At 37.5% G+C, this 20,994-nt stretch overlaps 1 long non-coding RNA gene across 1 annotated transcript; it reads right to left on the reverse strand.

Moving 5' to 3' along the window:
* Positions 1-230: 230 nt before the first annotated feature.
* On the reverse strand, positions 231-20,525 carry LOC105370273 (uncharacterized). Its single transcript, XR_942108.4, has 5 exons — positions 20,341-20,525; positions 16,639-16,729; positions 3,605-3,716; positions 2,932-3,026; positions 231-847 (listed from the first exon to the last, which is right to left on the reverse strand). It is a non-coding gene; the product is annotated as an uncharacterized LOC105370273 (long non-coding RNA).
* Positions 20,526-20,994: the final 469 nt, after the last annotated feature.

Genomic DNA, 20,994 nt, shown 5'->3' on the forward strand with positions numbered 1-20,994 from the left:
TGAGGTGGGGCCCAAGAATTTGCATTTCAAATGTCACCACATACTGCTGGTCCAGGAATCACACTCAGAGAACCCCTGGTTTACACTTTGATCTATGTATAGCTTACCTGTGGCTCTCCAGAGTTGGCATAGATAATAATTCTTTTATTAGAATATTAGTGACAGTCACTATGGCTTCCCTATCGTATTAGTCAAGGTTCTCTAGAGGGACAGAACTAACAAGATAGATGTATATTTAAAGGAGAGTTTATTAAGGAGTATTGACTCACATGATCACAAAGTGAGGTCCCACAATAGGCCGTCTGCAAGCTGAGGAACAAGGAAGCCAGTCCGAGTCCTAAAAGCTCAAAAGTAGGGAAGTCAACAGTGTAGCCTTCAGTCTGTGGTCAAAGGTTCAAGAGTCCCAAAACTGAAGAACTTGGAGTCCAATGTTCGAGGGCAGGAAGCATGCAGCGTGGGAGAAAGATGTAGGCCAGGAGACTGAGCCAGTCTACTCCTTCCACATTCTTCTGCCTGCTTTTATGCTGGCCATGCTGGCAGCTGATTAGATTGTGCCCACCCAGATTGAGGGTGGGTCTGCCTCTCCCAGTCCAATGATTCAAATGTTAATCTCCTTTGGCAACACCCTCACAGACGCACCCAGGAACAATACTTTGCATCCTTCAATCCAATCAAGTTGACACTCAATATTAACCATTACATCTATCAAACCAATCTAATGAACATCTGCCTAATGTCAGTGGGAAGGTAGTAGTAGATCCATATGACCCCCTCCAGGAAACTGTCATACACCTGTAGAACCAAAGAGCTTGAGAAGTTCTTCATGGTCATGGTCATCTAGTTAAATCTGAACATTTTAAAAATGGATAAGAAGAGGCTGTTTGTCTCAGTTAAGTCCCTTCATTTTCCAGTTACACTCTATTTTCCAAGTTCTACTTTCTAATACCAGCTAAATTCATGATATTCTTCCTATAAAATACAGAAAAGGCATGATACATTTTTGAGACTTCCTACTGAAATCCATGGAGCTGGTTAAAATGCTGAACACTGTATAGAACAAAATATTTTTGTGAAGCTTATTGCATTAGCTATATATTTACATTTTTCCACATCACTAATTTCACATGTCTAGGAACCATGCCAGATCTGGACCAAAAAGAAAAAGTGAAAAAATATACCTAACTACTTCTGCTTAAGCTACTTACATTTATCTTTTAAAAGTGCAACATTTTATTTGCAAAACTGAGGATGACACAAATGATACTTGCAAACCCTGTGAATGGGTTACACTGACCTCTAGGTCTAATATCAAATATACAGCATATTTTAATATAGATTCCCTAAAAAAATTTAAATTCAGCAACAACTCCTTAGCATATCATATTTCAGTCCTTTCTCTCAAATAGTAAAATTATCTTTTCTTCAACTCATCAGGTGACATTGACACCTCACTCTCACCCTGACTCCCACCATTATCCTAGAGGATTTTAGCTTTCATGGTGATAATTCAACAGATCCAACAACTATTTACCTGGTGTCTATTGTATGCTGAGTACTGTTTTATAAGTTATGGATATGGTAGCCAAATAAGATAGTTTTAAGGTCTTGCTTTTGAGGAGTTCCTGATCTGGTGTGGGCTACAGCAAAGAAATAAGCAAACAAATAACATAGTTTCAGAGAGTGATAAGCACTAGGGGAAAAAAAAAGCAGAATAAAGGCAAAGATAATAATGAAGGAGGGATTCCATTTTTTACAGAGACAAACAGGTGACATTTGAGCTTGACCTGCGTAAGATGGAGAAGGTGTGTGGAATTCTGGGCAGACAAGAGCAAGTGTAACAGCCTGAAATAGGAATAAGCATGTCATTTTTAAGAAATGGCAAGAAGGCCAGGAAAGAGGAGGAGATTGTTATGGCAAAGGTGGAAGAGGCAGGCAGGGTCAGATCATGGGGGCCTGTGTAGGCCAGAGTCCTAATGGAAATGACAAGTCTTTGAATGTTTATAGCAAAGAAGTAATGCAAACTGATTTGTGTTTTATAAAGCTCAGTTTGTCTGATGTGTAGAGAATTGATTCTAATAGGTATGAGTGATAGTCAAGTGTATAAGGCTAGTGGTGGTGATCCTGGTGACGGAAGATGGTGGTATGAATAAGCTGCTGGGATGGAAGATGTGAGTAACAGCCTAAAATAGAAGGCATTTCAGCTGTGTTTAATAGTTTGAGTAGGAGAGTAGAGGTCAGAGGATTAGATTAATCTGAAGGTGGAGGGAAGTTGTTTTAAGGACAGACATAAGGAAGAAAATGGATTGAGAGATTTGTGGGTGCCCAGGAAGAAAGATTGAAATGAAAGACCAGTGTTCAGGAAGGGAACAAAACAAAAGTTAAACCAGAATGGGCTGATCGATTAGGAACAATTGATGGGAACAAAATTCATAGAATTAAAAGAATTGATGCAGATGAATAGCAAACACAATAATAGCAAAGGATAGTAGGTTATAGGCAGAGCATGGAGTATTGTGATTTGATTTTAGAGGTGCAGCAATTCTGAGTTGCTCATTCCAGTCTGTTATTTGTAAGCATCCATCCTCACTCTGTGAGTTGTACAGTAGCTTATGTAGAAATAATGATCAACTAGATGCCCATGGGTGGCCATTTTGTACCTCCTCACTTGTCAGGCTTCCCTCCTCACTCCTCAGTTTTATACTCCTGATCTGATTTAGTTCTGTTGGTTAACTCATCATCCATTTGTGTTTCCAATCTAAACATCATCAGTTTGATGGCTGGTTAATTTCCTTCTAAGGAACCTAAGTCTCCTTATTAACTATCGCTTTCTTCTTTTCTCTATGACTCTCTGAATAACCTTGAGGATAGTATCTTCATGTTTTCATCTAACCTCTGTACCTCTCATCCTTAGGTTTTCCCCAGTGGACGTACCTCATCTCTCCAATAGGACTCACAACTGGATAACCACAGGGTGTAGGGTGTGGCTACAGTGGTGTGTTTTAGATGTGGGTTGAAGTTGAAAGCCACTAGAGGACAAGAAGACAAGAAAGTATTGAGCTAGAAGATTGGATGAAATTGATTTTCAGGTTAAAACTACATAAAAGTGGCTCCCCCCAACACTGCTTCTCAATCTTACAATCTTTCACTGGAATGTTAACTTTCTTTCTTATCAAGATAATTTTGTACATTTCTCTTTTTGAGCCTTCAACTCCTCTTCTTTTGATTCTCAGCTAATAATTCACATATTATGTCACAGAGAAAAATAGAAAATCAAAGAGAACTAGCTCATCTTACCACCAGCAAATCTACCAACTGACCTTTATCTTTGGGCACACATTCTATCCTCTTTACTTTTAAATGTTTCTCAATCTTCATCCCCCCGATTATTGCCCTTTTTCTAACTTTCCTCCACAACCAAACTTAATAGTCCACACCCATCCCCACTTTTCCACTCCCTATTCACTCCTCACCCCACTGCAGTTTCTGGCCCTATGCCCCACTAAATATGTGTAAGTCTCAAATGGTTTCCTCACAGCCATGTCCAGTAAATAATTTTCAGGCTTTACATTTCACTTGGGGTTTCTCCTAGTACCCCAAAACTTACTCGTTCTTGGAACCTCTGGTGCAGCCATCGTGAAGTAAGTCCATTACAGTCTATCTCTCCTACTATGACTAAAGTCTTTATTCAAAGTACAAAAAGCAACTACTTGAGGACTCTGAAAAATAAACAAAAGCAGGTACATTGGGGAAGGATGTCAAGGCATTTAAAAATGATTTATATGTAAGTTAATTTCCCTTTTATTTTCTCTTTTTTCTATCATGGACTTGAGCCAAGACAGGCTTCCAGTGAACCTGACACAACATCACTATGGGCATCTAACATGTTGAGATAATTCTGTCTTTATCTCTAGAAGGCTAAGATATAGGCCTCTATGAGCAAGAGAACATGAGGGGAATCATCCTTTATTTTTTTCTCTCATGGCTTGATAAGAGTGGAAATGATACTTCCAGTGGTGTCCATATTGTGGGCAGTGCTATAAAGCTTACACTCCAATAGAAACCATATCCTTCTGGCTTGATGAATAGGTTATAGGGGACTCTTCAATCAGGAGAGTATTAGGATGAGTCCCATTTTCTGTCTTTGTTCTTGCCTGAGATGGCCACAATCATTGGAGTTATTCAGTATGCAAAGGCAGCAAGGAATTTAGCCCCAAGTTAAATTCCATATTTTTGGCCTGAAGATCAGGGAAAGAGGTCCCTTCCAACTGAAAAGTGTGGGGGAAATCCTGGAGATGAGAGATTTGGAGAAAGGAGTCCCCTAATTCTGCGAATAAACAAGTTTAGCTTCTGGGTTTACTCTCGAAGTGTACTTGTGCAGGATAGATCCAAAAGTGCACAGCAAAAGTTTTGATAGTGGAACCTCAATTTTAAAATATCACCTAGGTCTTACACTAACCTCTGAGTGGTACATGCTCACAGTGGACCCCAAATGGCATATCAAAGGCTTCGCTAATTGAACTGACATTGGAACAATCATTTCCATAAAGTGAGACAGAAATTGCAATCTGAACCTAACTTGGTGAATGCCAAGCAAACCACCACAACCACCAAAAAAAAAAAAAAAAAAGTATATTTTCCTGAGGATTTTAATAGAACCTAGAATGTAAACAACATATTTAAAATGTCTAGGTTGCAATACAAAAGTATTCAATTTACAAAGTACTCAAAAATTGTGACAAATTCCAAAGGGAAAGATTATCAATAAGTGCCAATCTTGAGATGATCCAGATGTTAGAATTATCAAAGACTTTAAAGCATCTATTATAAGTATGTTCCATCAGATAAAGGCAAACATTCTTGAGTAGAAATATGAAAGTTATCAATAGAGAAATAGAAATCATAAGTAAAAAATATTGCAACTATCTGAAATAAATCTTATAACTTATTTTTTTAAATTCTCACAATTTGCCTTCTACTGTGCAACTCCTCTCACATTTTCAATCTGAATCTGGTAGATCCTTCTCTGTCCTCCTCACTGTTTTTTCTTCTTCCACCAAGATCTCATTTTTGTCATTGATTTCTTCTCATTTTACTACATATTTTCATATGTAAGCTTATACACAACTTATCTACTCCTACTATCTTTTTCTCTATACCTACCATTCATTCTTTATACTATGGCTTTTATGCTTTTGCTTCCAACAATCCACAGAAGTTGCTCTAATTCAGTTGGTCAGTGAAACTCTTTATGGCTAAAGGCAATGGACAATTTTTAGTTCACATTATTAATATTCTTTTCTGAATATGTTTCTGGTGGCCACAGTACTGGGTAGAATTAGATGTTCAATACGTTTATTATTTAAATTAGTGAATGGCTACTCCCTTAGCTCCCATGTAAACAAAATTTTCTTTTTAAGAAATGAAAATCCTTTTGGCCATTTTTCTACATTTCCCATATGGGTTCCTCTTGCTTTCCCCACCCATTAATTGTTGGTGTTCACCAGAGTTTTATCATCAGCCTACTGGTCTTCCTTTTCAACACAATCTCCTGAATATTACTTACTCTCCTAATTTGGCTTAAAGGCTATATGCTATTGACATTTAAATTATTTATCTGTAGGTCTAAAAATTTTCAAATCCTCATTTGAGTATTTCCACTTAAAAGTCTTAAAAATACACCACTAACACCCCTAAACCTGATTCTCTTTTTGCATTATAAAATACACAGTTTGTGGTACTATCATGCTCCTGAGACCCTAGGAAAAAACTTGATAAAATCATCCCTCTTTCTTACCCTGGCCCTATCTTGTCACATAGATTTGCTGGTTTTACTTCCTAAGTATTTCTCAAGTCACTGTTTCTGTCTGTTGTACTCTTATTGTTTAATTCAATCTTAATCCATTTCTGACCTACAAAATTGCAATATACCCCTACTATGAGCTTCCTTTCTTTTTCCCCTACAATTCCAAACAGTTCCTATGTAGAGTTCTTAGCAATAGAAATATGATTATCTATTATTTTCTTCAAACTTATAATTAGCTGCTACTCTCTATGAAATAATTCCTAGCTCTGTGTTATTTCCTCTCTGGCAGTCCTTCCAGGCTCCTTTCTTGCCACTCCCTGCCTCACGTTTTAAACTCTAACAGTAGTAAACTACTTATAATTATCCAAAATAACCCTGTGGTTATGATTTCATAAACATTTGTTTTATATCTGTTGTCTGTAATAGTCTTCCCCCATCCTGCCTCTACAAATAATAATTATAATAGTTGATGTTTATTGAGCACTTACTATGTCTAGCAATAGCTTTGTCTTGATAGGGACCCTTGCATTTAATCCTCAGAACTACGTTGAGATAGGTATTGTAGAACTACTATAATCACCATTTTAGAGATGAGAAAACCAAGGAACAGAAAAGTTTAAGTGACTTACAAAAGAAAATAATAAGCCCAAAACCTAAACCAGACATTATAACTCCAGAAACTGCAAATTACCATACTTTATAGTATCCAAAGATCTTCTATCCAACTTTCCACACTCAGCTCAGAAATCACCTTTAAGAAAACATCTTTGAATAGACCGGGCATGGTGGCTCATGCCTGTAATCCCAGCTCTTTGGGAGACTGAGGCGGGCAGATCACGAGGTCAGGAGACTGAGCCCATCCTGGCTAACACAGTGAGACCCTGTCTCTACTAAAAATAAAAAAAAAAAAACTAGCCAGGCGTGGTGGTGGGCACCTGTAGTCCCAGCTACTCGGGAGGCTGAGGCAGGAGAATGGCTTGAACCCAGGAGGCAGAGCTTGCAGTGAGCCGAGATCGCGCCACTGCACTCCAGCCTGGGTGACAGAGCGAGACTCCATCTCAAAAAAAAAAAAAAAAAAAAAAAAAAAGGAAAAAAGAAAACATCCTTGAATAATAAAGACAATCACCCTTCTAAGCTCAGTTAGAGGCCTCTCTACTGGTCTCCCAGACTACCCTGCGCATCTTATAATAGAGGACACCTTGCAGGATCATTACCTGATTGATATCTGTTGTACTTCCACTAAACGTAATTCTTCAGTGGCATGGGTTATATTTTATCTAACTTTGTAGCCAAAGCACCTTGCAAAGTACTTCATACAGTGGTCACTCAATAAATAGTTGTTCAACTAAACATAAATAGCTGTTAGCCCAGACCTCTGTGCTTTTAGACATCTACTGGACGCCACTGTTTAAATCCGCCCATCAGTACTTAAGGACTTGGATAAAATTAAATTCCTATATTTTCCTTTCTATTGCTCAAGATTGTCCTTGACTCTGCCATTCCTTTCTTGAATAATATACTAATGTCTTTACAATTAACCAAATCAGAAGTCTAGGAAGCATCAAAGACTTTTGTATTGTGCCCAGTAACTAATTGGTCATCAAGTGCTTTAAGTTCTATCCTCTCTATATCTCTTAAGTCTTTCCTCTTTCCCATAATCCCATTGCTTCTGGTGCTTCCCTCCAACTCAGAAATTATTTTGAGACATTGCCTCTCCTCACATGCATATCATTACCTCTTTCCTCATCACTGGCCTGCAAGATTCTTGAGAAAAAGGATAATCTTTTCATCTTTGTACTTCTAAGTCATGCGTGTGTCCTCTTGAGTCATGAGTAAAGACGTGAGTCAAGCAGCTCATCTCATTGGCTGGTAGCTATTAACTTATACTCTGAAATAATCTAAAGAGAAAATTTCTCTCACAAAGGATTATACCTATAATAACCCCCAGAATTGTTCATAAATATTACAGTTCTTCTCTCTTTTCAGGTGTATTGTAGGATTACACTTCCTTACCCATTTCAAAGTTAGGTGGGCATGACTTGATTCAGTTAATGAAATAGAAAGGATTGGATGACCTCTGGACAGAAGCTTTAAAAAATAGTTCATAATTTGACCCATCCCCTTCCTCTTGCTGCAGTGATTAAGGAAGGATGTGTGAATGAAAAATTTGTCATATAAAATGTGAGAAATAAACTTTTGTTATATTAAGGCACTGATGTCTTAGGATTATTTGTTACTGCAACATAACTTAGCCTATCCTAACCAGTATAATGTCCTTGGGTACTGGTATTATTTCTTTTCTAGAAGAGTGATGTTCAGGGCAAATCATGCTGCATGTCCCTTTCTTGTCCCACGGACATTTTTATCTAAATGAATTCAGGTTAAAATTAGCATCAAGGGAAGCCTTGAAATGGAATTCAAAGTCCCAATTTGGCGATATTCAACATAAGAATTATGTGTGGAATGAAAAGGGTAATCATATTTGCTTTGAAGGATAATTATGAGCTAATTGTGTGCAAGAATAATGTAACCACTTTTATTCATAACTCTTCTTTTCTCTCTGCTGAGTGTGTAGCACACAGGCTGATCCAGTCAGGGATAATATACCTTCTGGAAGACTTGTAGAGTGATCAAAAGGATACATGCCACAGATATTTTATTGGGGTTTCATAAGTAAGACATTAAGTAAAAAGTTTATCCCCCAAATAACTCAATATGGGAAACATGATAGCATTATAATTATGCTTACTATGCATTTAGAGTTTGCAATGAACCACTAATTGTATACAGTCTATATCCTGCGAGAAAGCTATATAGGTATTTTACATGTATATGTGTGTGTGTGTGTATATGTGTGTGTGTGTATATATGTGTGTGTGTATATTTATACAGACATGTATTTTATATATAATTTATACATATATTTATACAGACATGTATTTTTGATCATCAGTTCCTCCTTGCTAGAAAAAGTAGGAAGTTGACTCTGAGTCACCCTTCATTAACCACAATGCTCACCTTTCCTCTGCAAGGAACCAAATGTCAAATAATCCCAGCGATTTAAGGCATTTCTAAAAGTCATTATAAGCTCACTTGTCATTTTCTAAATTTCTTCTGATGCACATGTTCAGCGTCCTGGAGCTTCTTTTTCTTTTATATTTTCTATTATTATTATTATCCGTCATATCAACACTGTCCATTTCTTTTTTCTTTTTTTTTTTTTTGGTCTATTATTCCTTAATTCCTGTTTTTACTTAGAGGATTGAACTATTTTTCTCCCCTAAGAAAACTGCCATTGATCAGAAAACAGTTGGCTTTTGGCTTCAGTTCAAATGACCTCTTTCCCTCAGGAAGCAAACCAAACTTTGTAGGGTCCTTTATGTTTGGGAATCACGGAACACACCAGCTCTAGTGACACCTCCCTCATTAAGCCTCTCTTTATTCCCTGGGACAAAACTACCTCCTTACATTAGACAGTACTTTGTTCTGTTTTCTATAATAATACCACACTGCTGTACTGTGACCTGCCCTCTTAAAGGTCTTTCTCCTACACAAGACATGAAACTCCCTAAGGGCAGAAAATGTGTTTTTTCCATCTTTCCACCTCTGGTTGTTCAGAGTCTCATGCATTATTTTTAGAATAGAGCCCGTTAAGTCACACTCAACATTATAGAACAGAAGTCTCAAATTGCAGTCTTTGGGACCAGCAGGCATATTCTGTTCAACCCACGAAAAATTGCCCAGCACAGGGCTTTAATATTTTCAAATAATTGCCAAATTTAAGAATTGACAGACTTATCATTTTTCGAAATCCAGAATCCTAGCTCAATATTTAACAAACAAACAGAACAGCAATTAGGAGATTAGGCAACGCTGAGTTCACCTTTCAACATGGAAGCAGCTGCTGGAGCTTAGTAATGGCCGCCATCTTTGAAATGGACACCATGGGTCCAGTTCTCATTAGTTTACCACAGTTTGCCACAAATGGCATGTACAGCTCATAAGCCATCAGAATAGCACCTAAACATGATGGCCTCTTGGGAACAATTTTCAGGTGAGTGGTTTCAGGATGGAGCAGTCTTCTGATTTTCAGACCAAAGATGAAAATGAATGTTGACATAGCTGGACCCTCTGGCCAGGGAAGCCCTGAACTAGCTTCTTCTCGCCTCCAGGGTGAGGTAGCTTTGGTATGGCTGCTTCAAACCAGAGCATACTTTGCACCCTCTCTGCTACTCTGAAAAATCTACTCAGAGTTCAGCTTAACTGTAAGGATTTAAATAACAAGAGAGCAAAGTGGTAACCTAGTCACTTTTTAATGCAGATGCCTTGTGAAGTCCAGGGTCTCAGTAAATTTTGGGGTATGACTCTGGAAAATTACTTACATTAAAGCCTTCAGTGTCTCAGTCTGCCTCTGTATCTTCTTCTCTTTTGTTCCTAACTCTTCTCTTTTCCCTCCCATGCTTCATAATTAAATGTATTTCTGCCCTATTCATGCAAATGATCTCCAGTAATTTTCTCATCATCCTAATATTCAATCTTATTCACTTTTATTTTTTTATCTCTGCATGTTTCTTGTGTCTTAAGTGTGTGGAGTTAGAAAAAGTAAGACCACAACAAAAAAATCAACGCCTTTTTAAATTATGAAAGTAAAATAAATTTCTTATAGAATTTTCAAAAAAAAGTAACAGAAAATCAAAATGATCCAGTCCTCTCTCTAGCTTTTCTTTGTGATTATATGTTTCATAACAGAAATCATGTTGCACACTCTTCTATTAACCTTATCTTATTATCATTTTTTCAAAATTATTTGAAAACATTATTTTTAGTTCAAATATAATATTCCACATATTAATGTATTTATTCCATGTATAAACATTGAAATTATATCTAGCTTATTTTTCATTTTATAAAAAAAAGTCTTTGCCCCAAAATGTAATTAATTCTCTGGAGTTTGTTTCTCAAAGTGAAATTACTGGCTCAAAAATTAAGAATATTAAAAATACATCTGACAACATGTATTGCCAAACAGCTTTTAGAAAGTCCATTTCTGGCCTGGGGTGGTGGCTCACACCTGTAATCCCAGCACTTTGGGAGGCCAAGGCAGGAGGATCATCTGAGGTCATGAGTTCAAGACCAGTCAGGCCAACGTGGTGAAACCCCGTCTCTACTACAAATACAAAAAAAAAAAATTAGCCAGGCGTGATGGTGCACACCTGTAGTCTCAGCTACTCAGGAGGCTGAGGCAAAAGAATCACTTGAACCTAGGAGGCAGAGGTTGCAGTGAGCCGAGATCACACCACTGCACTCCAGCCTGGGAGACAGAGCAAGACTCCATCTCAAAACAAATAACAATAACAGAAAAGAAAGTCTATTTATGTTGCATTCTTATCTGCTGAACATTAGAACACAGGGCTGTCCCACGTTCATTATGAAATTGAAAAATCTTTAATAACAAGTAATTGAAAAAATCATTTTAACTTTATTTGATTACTACTGAGTAATTTTTATATCTTTATTGTCCATTATATTAACTATTTTGTTTCTTAATTGTTAATAGTTGTTGCCTACTTTTCTATTGGCACATTGAGGATTTTCTAACTAGCCTCAAATATTTCTTATTCATTTAGGATGGTAGTTCTGTGTCTGTTACATTCACTGCAAGTATTTCTCCCAATTTGCCAACGGTCTTTTTATTTTTTATGACTCTTTTACATACAAGAGTTAATTTTTTTCACTTAAAATATCTATTTTCCTTTTCCTTCCTTTTGTGCTTAAAAGTCCTTTACATACTTGAGATCAATTAAATAGTCACTGTATTTTCTTAGCTTGTTTTGGTTTCAGGTTTTACATTTAAGTCACCAATTTATTTTATACTTATTGTGGCTCATAGTGCCAGTTGAGTATTAACTAAAATGATTTCATCTGTAAAAGGAAAGGCTAACTGAGAGTAAAATAAGGAGGGACCTCAAACAGTAGAGGGAGTATCACACGAGTGAAGTTCCATCTCCTCACCTGCAAACCAAAAGATACGACTACCTGACAGTGGGGAAGAAATGAGACTTCATAAAATGCTTCACATAATAGTGAGTGACATAAAAGGACACTGAGGTCTTTCCAAACAATTGTTTTTAAACATCATTTGGTATGTGATACTTTCTTATTAGAAAAGAAGTTATCCTAGGTCTGCTGAAAGACTATATCTTCAATTTGCTGATTTTTCTGTAATTCTTCCTCCACTGCTGCAGTTTTATTAGTCTGTTTTATAACAAGTAAAAGAAGTCCCCTGAAGACCAGCCTGGCCAACATGGTGCAACCCCATCTCTACTAAAAATACAAAAATTAGCTGGGCATGGTGGTGCACACCTGTAATCCCAGCTACTCAGGAGGCTGAGGCAGGAGAATCACTTGAACCCGGGAGGCAGAGCTTGCAGTGAGCGGAGATCCCGCCACTGCATTCCAGACTGAGTGACAGAGCGAGACATTTTGTCTCAAAAAACAAACACCTGAATCCTTTTTATTTTTTGAAGGGTTCTTAATTATTTGTTTTATTCTTTTGAATGAATTTAATACTTGTATTATCTCCCTCCACTCCAAACCCACTGGGATCTTTGTTGTAATTTCCTTAAATCTAAAAATTAAATTGTAAAGATGTGCCATCCTTATCATATTGATTTACCCATAAGGAAAGAAAAATAATGGCTAAGTTTTGTGAGGGCTTGCCATATGCCATGTGCCAATACCAGGTATTTTCACCACCAAACTCATATTATCTCCACAACAGTTTTCAGAAGAAAGTACACATTTACAAATGAGGGCACTCAAGCACAGTGAGGAAAGCAATCCTTCAAAAACATCACTGGCCTAACTAATTGCGTGTTTGTTTTTCTTTGGTACACATTATCACAGCCTACTCTCTACCTCTTTCCCACTTTCTCATCCTCACATTTTTTTCTATTTTTCCATTCCTTTCCAAATTCTCCTTTTTTTATGAGACAGTCTCACTCTGTCACCCAGGTGGGAGTGCAGTGGTGCGATCTCAGTTCACTGCAACCTCTGGCTTCAGGGTTCAAGCGATTCTCCTGCCTCAGCCTCCTGAATAGCTGGGATTACAGGCACATGCCACCACACTCAGCTAACTTTTGTATTTTTTAGAAGCGATGGGATTTCACCATGTTGGCCAGGCTGGTCTTGAACTCCTGACCTCAAGTGATCCTGCCACCTTGGCCTCCCAAAGTGCTGGGATTACAGGTGTGAGCTGCCGCACCTGGCCCCAAATTCTCCTTTCTGTATCTACTTTGTCTTCCTCATTTTTCACGTACATAATTGATTATATTATACTACTAAGAAGTTTAAATTTAATTGATTTGAATTATTATACTTTATTAAGGAAACAGCATAAGGGCTCTCCTGACTTTTGTTGCAAGCCAGCCTTCTTTATCACACCCTCAACAACATCTCCACAAAAAGAAATCTACAACTTCTGATGTAGACTCTGGAGCTAAATAGAAAATCAGAATCTATAAGACACAGGGAAGAGAGAAGAGGGAGCAGAAGGAAAGTTTCAAGATTTATTTCTACCACCTACGTTTAATTTCATGGAACCTGAGAGCTTATTTGTTCGCTTTAACATTATTTAGCACCTACTGTATACTGGCATGAGAATCCTGAGGCTTTATCGTTTATCTGTTAGACCTACTATGGTGTTATTCAGTTGGAGAGGAGGAAAACCTCCTGGTTCCTAAAGCACCCAGGCTATGTCAGGGAGGAGTGGAGCACTGTCTCCACTTGGCCCCTATAGAAGTAAATCTTCACTTCACCACTTATCCTTGAGCAGAAGAGGACTGTAGTTGATGATTCACATGAGAGGATGACAATTCAATCTCAATTAGCGTAGATTCTTGAAACATTTCCAGGTTGAAGTAGCTATTCTCAGCCCTCCATAGGCTGGACTGTCCTCCCCAGAGGACTTCTTAGAATTCAATTCTGGCCCATGAGACCAACACCAGATCTAAGCCTAGCTGGGCGTACCTGAAGCCTCAGCATGCCCCAATGTAACATGCAGGCGTTTGGCCATATGGTGTCCCCTGAGCTTGCCGTTCTCTGATTTATGCCAGAATGGGCATATGCTGGGATATTTCAGGACCCTGAGGGGAGAGTCAAAATGTCACACAGCCAGTATGAGGTTAAGCTTCCATTTCTGTGGTTTATGGCTTAAGTAGAAATGGAACCGGAGGGGACAAAAAAATGCCATTATTGATTCTAAAGCCTAGAAGGTTGAGGTTAGGGCATATAAGATAAAACGTTTAGGTTCTCTGAGGTGTGACCTATTTATACCTGTAAAATAGCCTTCAAAAATGTCCAACAAGGAAAAAGATGTATATTTGTATATATTACCCACTTGGCTTCACTTAAGCCTACTTTCTTCATATTCTGTAAAGAGAAATATCTAGAATCTGGTTTTTAAGTGGTGCCTTTTTTTTTAAGGGGGACTTAGTAGGGAAGGGTGCTCATAGGAATGAGTCATCGCTTCAGGATTTATGCTTATTAAAAAGTAAATATAGACTTTTCTCTGTGTTGCTATTTGAACTCCCCATGACTAAGTGATGGTTTAGTTCAACCAATGTTAGATGCCGCCTATACGTAGGGGCTAAGTATGCTTCCCAGTTGGAGAGGGTTGCCCTCCCAATAAGCATTCTGACAGGCATATTGGACTAAGGACAGAGGACATCATGTGGGGGCAGGAAGGCTGCCAGATGGCAGAGGCAGAAGGAGAGAATGCATAGAAGGCCAAGTGAAAGGAACAATTTACAGGGAACTCCCCCATTTGTGGAGAGGTGTGAGCATGGAAGCATGGAGGGATAATGTGGAAGGGAGCTGTCCCAAATATTGGAAAACAGGAGGTCCATTTTCAATCTAGACCTTCCACCTAAATGAACAAGAAATAATAAATACAAGAATTCACATCAGGGAAATTGGTTTTATTCACAATTGAAGGGTAACTAATTTTAAAGAGTTTACTTGGTGGCCATGAGAAGTGTACGTTTTGGGTATAAAAATGATGCCAATTGCCAGCACTCACAGGTTGTGATGAAATGTTGCCAACTTTTTTACACACTGTTCATTTTTACCATTAAGGCCTCTCATGAATCTTAATAAATCCAGTTTCATAAAATACAAAGGCATGCTCTCTTTTCTCTTAAAGAAAGAAAAATACTAGTGAATTCATGGCCTTTTCTTTATAATGGAACCTGCAATATAAATCTAATGTTTAACGCATCAGAAATTTATAATTTCCTTTTGAATTATATGAATGCACACCACTCAATACTAGTAATTCATTTTGTTAGTTTTGATCAAAGAGTTAATTACTATTTGAATGAAACTCTACTAATGAATGAATATAAAATTAAGATCTTCTCATGATGGCAATCGGTTACAAATAAGACATAAGAAAGATGCAAATCATGAGGCTCCATTTAGGTTTCATGAACCAAGTGCTTCTAACAGGAAGATAAATACAGAGCAATATTCAAGTCCTCTGAAGCTTAAACCAAAACAATATTAATTGTATAGGTGGGGAGGGGAGAGGGGATAAAAAGAAAATGGAAACAAGCAAAGAGTTCTCAGTTTTCAGGCATAGGAAGAGGTTTGTTTATATGTAGTTGAGGACAGACACAAATGCATAAATGAATGTATATAGTGCAATCAGCAGTTATCACAAATCTGCTTGGATTCAACAGTAGAGCTGACAGAACTTGGTCAATGTTAAGACTGTGCCACCTTCTGGTTGTCATGTGTATGACAGGTGTTCATATTGTTTACAGACTAGCATTTCTGTATTATGCAAAACTTATATTGAAGGGAAACAGCAGATCCATTCCTGGTGCTGTTCACTTTCTCCCCTGGGGACTGTATTGGAATGAGAACACGATCCATAAATGTACTCCAGTGACTGCTTTGCTTGAAAATCTGAGTTTGCTTTTTAAGCTTGATCAACTGTAATGGTATATGATAGTCCAGACACAAGCTCAGACAGCACTGCAGTTGTGAAAGCAGGAGATTTGGTTGCTTGTCTTTTCCCTGGTTGCCACTTTCTGAATTTCTTAGAGCCAGAGAAATGGAGCTCCAGCAACCGAAACAAGGCCTCTGTCAATCAAATAAATCAGATGGGGGAATATACTGTTGTGTCTGCAAAGCTGCAAAATAATAAATACACGTGTAGCCTAATTTCTGTGCAACTGTTAACATGCAATTGGGGCCAAAAGATGATTTGAGGGATTATGTTATGCTTAAATTCCTCCACAGTCTCAGTCGGATCAATTATGGGATCACGGCTTTTGGAGTCCTGGCTGGATGCTAACATACCTTTGCCACCAAGCTGAGCATCCTAGCTGAAGGACTTCTAGAGGATCCATGGCCACTCATTTCATAAATGTATCTGCTGTAATTTGTATTTGAAACACTGGAGTTTGAAAAGGTAGTCCCAAAGGAAAGGTATTGTTTTTTTCATGTGCATTGCTTAGGGGTTTGTGTCTTAAAATTAGCCCTGGAAACCTTAAAATCCTATAATATTTTAAATGTGTCTAAAGAGGCAAGTAGATTTACAGAGACAGAGTAATCTTAATTGAGTAATTGTTCTTTACACTTTATCATTGTAGCCTGCTAAGTTTCTTGGGTAGGGTAGGTGGCCCTCTCCCACACTACCTTCTCCCTCTTCCCCTATTCCATCTGACGCCCACACTGCCCACCCTCTGCACCCACACATACACTCTCAGCCCTGAAAACAAACAGAAAACCAAGAATACTTTTACCCACAGAAAGAAGTGGTACTTTACCGTAATGACCGAGATGATTTCTTCGACTTTCTATTTCACCTTGCCTATGATGATCGAAACAAACTTTTTGCAAATTCAGGCTTTTCTGAATCTGCAAATAAAGTGATCGAGAATGAAATAATCGGAAAAAAATCAAAATGCAGGTTTGCTTTAAAACACAAAATTCAGCTGCTGTTACTGTCCTACATTATCACCCTAAATTGATATTGGGATTGGCTTTATGTAAAATTTGATTATGAAGAATAAAGTCTTCAAAGACAAGTTTTTTAAGAGTATCCTAATTTGTGATTACTTATCCTTCTTCATTGAAGGGTATACATGGCTGCTTTGCAGTGTTTACAAAACTAAAAGAACAACAAGATCAAAGTGTGAGGTTGGTAGGGATGTGAATATAAGATGCAAAGAAAACCACTTGAAAATTGATTAAATATCAGTGAAATTTGTCCAGGCATGGTGGTTCACACCTGAATCCCAGCACTTTGGGAGGCCAAGGCAGGTGGATCACCTGAAGACAGGAGTTTGAGACCAGCCTGGCCAATGCAGTGAAACCCCGTCTCTACTAAAAATACAAAAATTATCTGGGCATGGTGGCAGGCGCCTGTAATCCCAGCTACTTGGGAGGCTGAGACAGGAGAATTGCTTGAACCCAGGAGGCAGAGACTGCAGTGAGCCGAGATCTTGCCACTGCACTCCAGCCTGGGTGACACAGTGAGACTCTGTCTCAAAATAAAATGAAATAAATGAAATTTAGGAGCCAGCTTGAGGGGCCCCCACCAGACAAGTCTGGGACCATTTAGAATCAAAATAAATAATGACAGTAAAAGTTTGTACCCACTGGATAGGGTAAAACTCCATGAGTTCATGTTAATATAAACATATAAACAAACATATGAATGAGAAGGAAGTTTTCTAACAATAGGAAGGCAACATTTGTAATAAATGTTAAAGAAATTATGAAATTAGAAAAACCACCATTTGGCAGCCCTAATAATAATAATTGACTCAGGAAAGTATCATTAATGGACTACAACCAGTGGATAAATTTTGAGAAGAATTATTGATATAATATCATAGTTTCTCTCCACTTTTAAAGACTTGAAAGTAGAGGATCGTGGTAAATCTCCCTTTAACCAAGTGCTCAAAGTTAACATCACCAACAAATGCACAAATCTAGTTTGTGCTTCCTGAGAGAAAGCACTGATAATTAAGTATTGCTTTTGTGTTATTCCTACCAAAAGCCCAAATCCTAAATCTAACATCATGAAGAAACATTAGACCAACCTTATAATTGGCTTATAAAATGTCCCTGTCATGAGCCACAAAGAAATAGTAAATACTGTTCTAGATTTTAAAAGACTAAAGAGACCCGATGGTTAAGTGTGACTTTGTGTTTTTTTTCTTATAAAAGACATCAAGTCAATTAGCAAAATCTGAATATAAGTTGGTTGTTTAGGTAATTGTATTGTCTCAGTGTTAGTCTCCTGACTTTATTAATTGTATTGTAGTTAGATAAGAGCATTTTCTGTTTTTAAGAATTGCAAACTGAAGTATTTAAAGGGAAGGAGTTTTCATCCCTACAATTCTTACATTATTTATAAAAATACATGATAAATGTTAATATTAGGATATGAGAATTATTTGTATTATTCTTGCAACTTTTCTACAAGTCTAACATTTTCAAAAAGTAAAAGAAAATAATCAGTAAAAACAGGATGACACTGCCACATCTTTTGGCTCATAATGAGTACCTGTTCCTTTGCCAAATAACAGGTAACTAATTTTTTATTTAAAAAGCAAGTTGTTTTAGTCTTATGCAGACTCAACTTGAAACACTGAAGACAGAATTGGGAAATCATGTCTTTTCAGAGTACCCTCTTTGCATATCCAGCTGTACATCAGTTCCTTTCCTGTTTGAGTCTCACATTTTCTCTTTTCTTTCCAGCACTTTATTCTTTTATTCAAAAATCTTTTATTGTGCCCCATTTGCAACCAGACCCTGTGAATTTCTGGGCATTCAAAGATAAGTCAGACTCAGCTCCCAGGCGAAAACATACATAGCTAATTCTAGGAGAGTATGTATGTTTCATAAGTGTAACAAAGGTAGAAAAACGGAGGGGGAAAAATAGGAGGAGTCTTGGCAAAGGAACAGAAGTATATTATGCAGGCAGAAGTTGGTGGGGAGATTGAAAACACTGGGGGGTAGCAGGTGGGCAGTTTATGGAGGGATCTCCCAGTGACCCACTATTGCTGGAGCACTGGGGCAGTGGTCAGGGATGCAACGGCAGAGGAGGTAGGCGCTATGTCAGAAACTGTTTGCCCAACTATAGAATTTGAATTCTGTTACTTGGTGATGGGAAACCGTGAAGGTTTTAAGCAAGACTGTGATGTGCTTAGGTTTATTAGAAGGTTCTATGCTGCTCAGCCTCCCTGTCTAGTTCTTTGATTTATTGACTGTTTCCTCACTAAATGACTGCTTTAGGTCAGATGCTGCACAAGTTTGAGGCACATATGACCAAAAGATGTGGTTTCTGTCTTTATACAACATTCTCATTCTGGGGTCTCTGTGGCTTTTTTGTTTGTTTCCTATTGTTTCTAACACTCAAAATTGGGCCACATTTAAAGACCACTGCAAGTTGTAGTTGGTCTGCCCTTTTATTTATTTGCGCCTCTTAACCTCTCCCTAGGACTCCTAAACTTGCTGTCTTTATTAAGCTACAAGAAGAACATACTTGGAACAAACTACTGTGCAGTATAAGGCAAACTTTGCCTTTCCTAGTCAACCCTAAAGTAGCTAATTTAAACTATACTCAAAGCTTTATGCTCAATTCTAGCAGGTAATATTGAAATTATAGAATTCCCTAAAATTCATCTTTTTAATTCATTTGCTTAACAATATTCCTGTCACCTTAACATTTATCAGATAAAATAATTTTATCATTTGTAGAATTCTAAAATGTGGCTAGCCATTATTTTCAATTATTTTTTCACAATATAGCATAAGCATTTATATTTCCTGCTTAGTATACTAATTAGGTTAGTAGCCTCTGGTTCTAAGTTCTGTAGTATTTTATTTCATAATGTTTGACAGCTATCTTGTATGGAATATAATTTTCACAGTATAAATTCACATATTAGCATTATTTTTTAAGGTATATTTTTATTATAAGGGTCAGCAAGGAGGAAATACTCATAATCAGGTACAGTCATGGACCACATAATGACGTTTTGGTCAATGAAGGACTACCTATCTGATAGTGGTACCATAAGATTACAATAGAGCAGGAAAATTCCTATCACTTAGTGACAGGAATATGAGTTGTCATAATGTTATAGTGCAATGCATTACCTTTTCTGTGTTTAGATATGTTTAGATTCACACATACGGTATTGAGCATAGTAACATGCTGTATAGGTTTGTAGCCCAGGAGCAATAGGCTATACCCTATAGCTTGGGGTGTAGTAGGCTATAACATCTAGGTTTGTTTAAGTCCACTGTATGATATGAGAACAATGAAATCACCTAACAATGCATTTCCCATAACATATCGCTGTCATTAAGCGACACATAACTATGGTTTTGATTTTCTCAAAAAAACATTATTTCACTCAACCAAAGCATGCACTGTGTATAAAACATTTAGTTAGGAGCTCTCAGAGGACACTGAAGAAAGAGAGAGAGAGGTAAGAAAAAAGGTGGCTTACCTAGGAAAATATATCTGGTAGAGAACTAATACAGGCTTCTCTAATAGATATTTCCATAAGTTTTGGACTGGAATTTGAATCTTCATGCTGGTGTAAGTTCAGCCAAGTTACTTAACCACTGTGAAGCTCCGTTCTTTGTGTATGAAATGGAGATCATAATGACACATCACTGCCTCTTGATCTTCTTCTATTCACCCCTAGGCTCAGAAAACAACAGAGATTTTAAAAGTTGAAGAAAAGGGAATACACTGTCCTTGCTGCAGCTCTGGCTTCTTGTGAGTGTGGCAGTCCATGGAATTTTCCTTCCCCTTTAATCCAAAACCCAGAAGCCTCTGGTCTTCTTGAAATGTCATTTAGAATTGTAGATATTCTAGCAATCACTTTAAAATAGGTTCTGCTAACATATCAGATTTCTGCCCCAATTGTCAGTGCATAAAATAATGACATTTATGTTATGACTAGTATTCCATGAAATTTTTAAATAAGCAATTGGTTTTAAAATCCAAGTTTTGGCTACATCACTTTCATCAGAGATGCTTTACTAGCAAACAGAAAAACTTTAAATTGTGCCTATTTGGATTTTTTTCTCCTCTCCTGTTACCTCATCTCGTGTAAATACTATTGAGCAGGGGATTGACTAAAGATTTGTCACCA

This window comes from Homo sapiens, chromosome 13, assembly GCF_000001405.40.
Source record: "Homo sapiens chromosome 13, GRCh38.p14 Primary Assembly".
NCBI lineage: Eukaryota > Metazoa > Chordata > Mammalia > Primates > Hominidae > Homo > Homo sapiens.